At 41.6% G+C, this 7,001-nt stretch overlaps 1 annotated feature.

Moving 5' to 3' along the window:
- Window positions 6,412–6,638: a silencer, noted in NCBI's record as "fragment chr4:170291383-170291609 (GRCh37/hg19 assembly coordinates)". NCBI's record gives its function as "represses an EF-1alpha promoter that drives an FKBP-Casp9 reporter gene in an ReSE screen in HepG2 liver carcinoma cells {active_cell/tissue: HepG2}" and the evidence as "EXISTENCE:reporter gene assay evidence [ECO:0000049][PMID:32094911]".

The following is a 7,001-nucleotide window of genomic DNA, read 5'->3' as shown; positions in this document are numbered from 1 at the left end:
TTTCTGAGAATTCATGGATTTCCTTTTCAGTGGGGTCTGTTGCTACAGAATTATGCTCCTTTGATGGTGTCATATTTCCTTGCTTTTTCATGTTTCTTGTGTCCCTGCATTTATTTTCGTGCACATGATGGAACAATCACCTCTTCCAAACTTTCTAAAGAGGCTTTCTTACAGAAGGACTTGCAACCATAATTGTGTCTTAGCATGCTGGTTGAAGGAAGGGTGTTGCAACTTTGTTTCTAGAGTGCATTCCAGGTATGGTGATATGATCTCCATGCAACTTCTTTGGCTGTGTTCAGTATCAGCAATAGCTGTGGATGCCTCAGTGGCTTAGACTGTAGAAGTCTGAAGTAACAGCAGTGGTGGCATCAGTTGTTAATGTCCTTTGCAGCAAGGGCCTTTGGGCTCCCTTTATATTCATTTTCCCCACAATAAGAGGACTTAGGTGAGGAGAGCCCTCCTGGTGTCAAGTCTGACACATCCTAAAAGCAGCTACAATGGTGCTGGGTTCCAGGTTTTAGGTGCAAATGTTTGGAGTGGCTCTGGGGCAGGGGCCTAGGCTCAGGGTCTTGCAAAGCTATTGTAGCAGCTGAGTTTGGGGGTATAGGTTTTTTCTGTGTGGTAAGGTTGAATATAGGTTGCACACTGAGCAAGTGTCTCTGACCCTAAGGCACTCCCTAGGAGCTTGGGTCCAGGGGGTCAGGTTGTAGCTGTGCTTCTGTTCCAGAGGGGCAGGGCACAGCCCTGACCTGACACCAGGGAAGAAGGGCTACTCTAAAGGTTTGAGACCACGGTACAGGGTATGGCTGCAATTCAGAAGTCTAAACCAATAGGGCTCGTGGGCAACCTAGGTCGTTAGGGATAGGTCCTTAACGATGAGGCACCATGTAGCAGTGATCCTAAATCCTGGGATGGTGGGGCTCAGCAGTATCTCAGATACTTTGAGGCTGGGTGCAGCAGTAGCAAGTACCCTAGAATGGATGAGGACAGCTGTTGTTTAGGCCCTGGAGGGCAGGGAGCAGCACAGTGATGACTCCACTCCCCAGGGAGAGGGGTATCTTAGCAGCTCAGGATCTAGAGCCCTAGTTCCTCTCCAAGGAAGCAGGTTATTAGAGATTTTTGGCCTGTAGGACAAAGTGTCTCAACTGAGACACTGCTCTGTTTCCCTGGGAGACAGGGTACTACATCAACTCAGCCCTGGACTACACAGCTACTCAACTTGGCCAAGGCACCAATTCCCAAGGGGGTGATGTGCCATTTCAGCTTAGACCTGGGGGACATGACTGTTCTGGGTGGTCCCTACACCATTTTTCCAGGATGTAGACCTCCACCAAAGCACTGTTTCCTCAGAAAGCGGTGCACAGTTTCAGCTCAGGCCTCTAGTGGTAGGACATAGCCAGAGCTGAGAGTGGTAGATGGAACCATTCTTCCAAAGCATCATTTCCCCAAGAGAGAGTGCACAGCTTCTGCTCTGGCCTGAGGGAGTAAAGGGAGGAGGAGTAAGTGAAGCAGTTCCACTGCTGCCCAACCCCAGAGGGAAGGGGGAAACAGTTGCTCACGGCTTGTCTTAGTGCAAAGCTATTGTGGCACCTGAGTTTTGGGGTGCAGGTTTTCTCTCTGTGTTAAAGTTGACTGTAGGTTGCACACTGAGACACCCTCTAGAGCTTGGGTCAAGGAGGGTAAGGTTGGCTGTGATTCTACTCCAGGGCAGGCAGGGCACAGTCTTGGCCTGACTCCAGGGAAGAAGGGATGCTCCAAAGGTTTGAGACCTGCGCTCAAGGTATCGCCATGCAAGCCACAGGAGGTGGCGCACAGTGTGAGGACTGCAGGGGACCCCAGTGGTGAGAACAGTAGGTGTCAAAGGTGTTGATGGGGGCTTCCTTAACCTCCTTGCCATAGGGAGAAGTTCTTCCTGGTTCCCAGCTGATACCAGCTAGGGGATGGGGTGCTGGAAGCCTGCTGTTTCCTTCTGTTCTCTGTGTGGCTATCCTGAGTTTCTGTGTTCATCAGGGTTTCTGTTAAATCCTTTGATGTACTCCGTCACACTCCCTTAGTTATTTGTTAAAATGTAGTTGCTCATTCATTATTTGGGCTGTCTGTGTCAAGGAGATGAGAAAAGGGGACTTCTAGTTGGTAATATTGCTAATGTCATTATTATTTAAAAAGGTTAATTTTCTACTTTTCTCATTTTTACCTTCCTTCTGAAGTAAAATCAGAACCAAATTAATGGAGATATTTAAGTAAATAGGGATCAACAATTTAATTTTTGAAATAGAACAGGTATTAAAGGACCAATGTTGACAAATAAGGTTCATTATCAGTACTTGGATATAGGGTCCATATATAATACTCAATAAATCCCTTCTTTTAAAACTTAAATAAATGGCTTGAACCCTCATTCTAAGCACTATTGGAAACCCAGCGTGTACTTTCTGGAATTGCTAGGGGACATACCTTCTCCTGTTTACCTCTTGACTTAATTTCCTACTTGGAATTATCTTAATTTTCTCATCTCTTTCACTATGATCGCCTTCTTCCTTGTCTTTGTTATTTCTTCAATTTCTTTTTCCACCTTCCTTCTTGGTAAATATATTATTCTATTTAAAACCATTGTGGATAGTACAGATTGTTAAAGTATCAACTAAGAGAATTAACATCTTGGAGAGGGTCCACAAATAAGCTCACAAACATGTCATCCATCTCAGTACTCTCCTGCTTGACGTGAGTTAAGAACAATGGATGCTTCGATATTCACAGGTCACATCTCTAGAATGTGTAGTTCTGTAAGTCTAATTCATTTGAAGTTGGTTAGAACTATATTCTGGTTTGGAGCCACAGATACCAGATACATTTATATTAGCAAGAAAGTCCAGTGATTTACCTTAATCAGCTTTCTAAAAATTTATGAAACCCCTGGTAACTATGGAATGTATATAACTTATAATTTATAAAGCATAATAATAAACACCCATATACCAGCTTAAGAAACAAAATGTTGTCATTATCACTAAACCCTTTTTTCACTTCCCTAATCACATTCTCTACATTCTCCCCAAAGATAATCGCCCTCCTGAGTTTTATTATCCTTTGGACATGTTACTCATGTATTTATATATAAAATATATATTGTATAGTTTGCTTGTCTTTGAATGTTGTCTAAACAATGTCAATGTATTATTCTCCTATAATTTGCTTTTTAAATTTTACCATTATATTCATGATTCATTCATGTTGATGAAAGTAGTTGTAGTTTCCTTATTTTATCTGTTGAAAAGTACAGCCATGTGCCACATAAGGATGCTTCAGTCAACAATGGACCACATGCACAACAGTGTACAATGCAGCTGAAAAAAATGCCTATTGTCTAGTGATGTTGTAGCCATGATAACATTCTAGTGCAATTACTATATTTTTAAATAAATTAAATATAGCCTAAGTGTACAGTAATGTCCTAGGCCTTCCCATTCACTCACCACTCACCCAGAGCAACTTCCTGCAAGCTCCATTCATGGTAAGTGCTTTACACAGCCATACCATTTTTTATCTTTTGTATCATATTTTTACTGTACCTTTTCTGTGTTTAGATACGCAAATGCTTACCATTGTGTTACAGTTACCTACAGTATTGAGTATAGTAACATGCTATAGAGGTTTGTAGCCTAGGAGTAATGGGCTATATTCCATAACCTAGGTGTGTAGTAGGCTATACCATCTAGGTTTGTGTAAGTACACTTTATGATATGTGCACACAATGACGAAATTGTCTAACTCATTTCTCAGAACATATCCCTGTTGTTAAGCCACACATGACTGTATTCAGATACACAAATACATCACAGTTTAGTTTCCCACTATCCTATCAATGGACTTCTGGAATATTTTTCAGTTGTTGTTTTTTTCCTTTTACAAACAATGATGCTCTTTTACATGGCTGCTGATGCATACATGTGTCAAGAATTCCTCCTCCTAAGAATAGAACTATTATGTTATAAGAATGATTCAATTTTACAAAGAAATGCCAACTTGTATTTCAAAGTTATTGTCCGAATTCATGCATTTATGAGTAGTAGTATTTCCTTTTGTACCACGTATCAATCCTTATTGTCAGTCTTTTTAAATTATTGTCAGTCTCATGGGTATAAAATTATATTCCATAGTGTTTCCATTTGAATTTTCCTAATTGCTAATGAGGCTGAACATATTTTGATATTTTCACTGGCCAGTTAGGTTTTGTCTTCTGGCAAGTGTCTGTTAAAGTATCTTACTTATTTTTTTTTAATTTAGGGGCTGGGCATGGTGGCTCATGTCTGTAATTCTAGCACTTTGGGAGGCGAAGGCAGGAGGATTGCTTGAGCCCAGGAGTTCAAGACAAGCCTGGGCAACATGCTGAGACCTTGTCTCTTTCTTTTTTTTTTTTTTTTTTTTTTTGAGATGGAGTCTTCCTCTATTACCCAGTCTGGAGTGCAGTGGGGCAGTCTCGGCTCACTGCAAACTCTTCCTCCTGGGTTCAAGCGATTCTCCTGCCTCAGACACCTGAGTTGCTAGGATTACAGGTGTGCGCCACCATGCCCAGCTAATTTTTGTATTTTTAGTAGACATGGGATTTCACCATATTGGTCAGGCTGGTCTCGAACTCCTGACCTCATGATCCGCCAGCCTTATCCTCCCATAGTGTTGGGATTACAGGCATGAGCCACTGTGCCCAGCCAAGACCTTGTATCCTAAAAAAAAAACAAAGTTATTTATCTTGTTGATTTTAATGAGTAAATATTTTCAGAATATTAATCTTTGACTGCTATGTGTACTGCATATATATCCTATGAATTTTGGGGTTGATTTTTACTTTTTAAAATATAGTAATTTTATGATTTGTACTTTTGGGGCCTGGTTTGAGATGAATTTTTAGGCAGAGGTTATGAAAGTCTTCAACATTATTTTCTAAAAGATTTAATTAAAGTACTTAATTCGTATAAAATGGATTTTTGGTTATCATGTAACACTTTTTTTATATATACAAATAAAATATTCTTTCAGCAATAATTGAGTGACCATCCTTTCCCCAGTAATCTATAATGGCACCCTAAATATGTGTAAAGCATCCTTAGACTTATGGATCTGTTTTAGGGCTATGTTAGTCCATTATCTCTCTCTCTTTTTTTTTTTTTTGCAACGCATAAATGCCAAATCATCTTTTTTTTTTTTTTTTTTTTTTTTTTTTTTTTTTTGAGGAGTCTTGCTCTGTCGCCCAGGCTGGAGTGCAGTGGCGTGACCTCTGCTCATGGCAACCTCCACCTCCAGGGTTCAAATGATTCTCCTGCCTCTGCCTCCCAAGTAGCTGCGACTATAGGTTGTGTGCCACTAGACCCAGTTAATTTTTTTGTATTTTTTAGTAGAGACAGGGTTTCACCATGTTGGCCAGGCTGGTCTCAAACTCCTGATCTCAGTGATCCACTAGCCTTGGCCTCCCAAAGTGCTGGGCTTACAGGTGTGAGCCAATGTGCCCAGCCTGCCAAACCATCTTAATTGCTATAGCTTTCAAATGCATCATGAACTTGTTTCCAGTCATGGAGGAATAACATGGAACAGATTTGTCTTCTTCTTTAGTCAAGGTCTCCAAAGAAACAGAACCAGGCCGGGCATGGAGGCTCAGGCCTATAATCCCAGCACTCTGGGAGGCCAAGGCAGGTAGATCACTTGAGGTCAGGAGTTTGAGACCAGCCTGGCCAACATGGTGAAACCCCATCTCTACTCAAAATACAAAAATTAGCCAGGTGTGGTGGTGGGCACCTGTAGTCCCAACTACTCAGGAGGCTGAGGCAGGAGAATGGCTTGAACCCTGGAGGCAGAGGTTGCAGTGAGCTGAGATCACACCACTGCACTCCAGCCTGGGTAACAGAGCGAAACTCCGTCAAAAAAAAAAAAAAAGAAAGAAAGAAAAGAAACAGAACCAATAGGATCTGTATATCTATATACCTATCTTATTAATATCTATATAGGACACACACACACACACACACACACACACACATATATATATATATATATATATATATATATATATATATATATATTTTTTTTTTTTAAGACAGAGTCTCACTATGTCGTTCAGGCTGGAGTGCAGTGGTGCAGTCTCGGCTCACTGCAACGTCCACCTGCTGGGTTCAAGCGATTCTCCAGCCTCAGCCTCCCAAGTAGCTGGGATTACAGGTGCATGCCATCACACCTGGCTAATTTTTGTATTTTCAGTAGAGATGGGGTTTCACCATGTTGGCCAGGCTGGTCTCAAACCCCTGACCTCAGGTGATCCGCCTGCCTCAGCCTCCCAAAGTGCTAGCATTAAAGGCAGGAGCCACCGCGCCCGGCCCAGGACCTATATATCTATAGAGATTTATTATAAGGAATTGGCTCACACAATTATGAAGGCAGAGAAATCCAAAATCCATAATACAGGCTGGCAGGCTTAAGACTCAGGAGAGCTGGTGGTGTGATTCTAGTCTGAAGGCTGGCAACCTAGAGACCCAGGGAAGCCAATGATGCAGATAATGTCCAAAGCAGCTGGCTGGAAATTTTATCTTTTGCTCAGGGAGGCTAGTCTTTTTGTTATATTCAGGCCTTTAACTGATTGGATGAGGCCCATCCAAGTTCACTGATTTAAATGTTAATCTCCTCCAAAAACATCCTTCAGGTAGATACATATAATTAACCGTTACACCTGCCTACCTTAAACAACTAAAAAAAAAAAAGAAAAAGAAAAAGAAAAAACCCACAAAATATAGTTTTGGACACAAGGCCGCATAGAACAAGGATCTCTTAGTGAAGGGAATCAAATTAGGTGAACCTTAGCATTGCTTAGTGATATGGTTTGGATTTGTGTTCCCACCCTAATTTCATGTCAAATTGTAATCCCCAGTGTTAGAATTAAGATGGCTGGGTGGGAGGCGATTGGATCACAGAGGTGGATTTTCCCCTTTGGTGCAGTTCTCATGATAGAGTTCTCACGC

Source organism: Homo sapiens, chromosome 4 (assembly GCF_000001405.40).
Source record: "Homo sapiens chromosome 4, GRCh38.p14 Primary Assembly".
In the NCBI taxonomy this organism is placed as follows: Eukaryota; Metazoa; Chordata; class Mammalia; order Primates; family Hominidae; genus Homo; species Homo sapiens.
The sequence above is the reverse complement of the archived record's forward strand: the minus strand, read 5'-3'. Positions and strand labels throughout refer to the sequence as shown.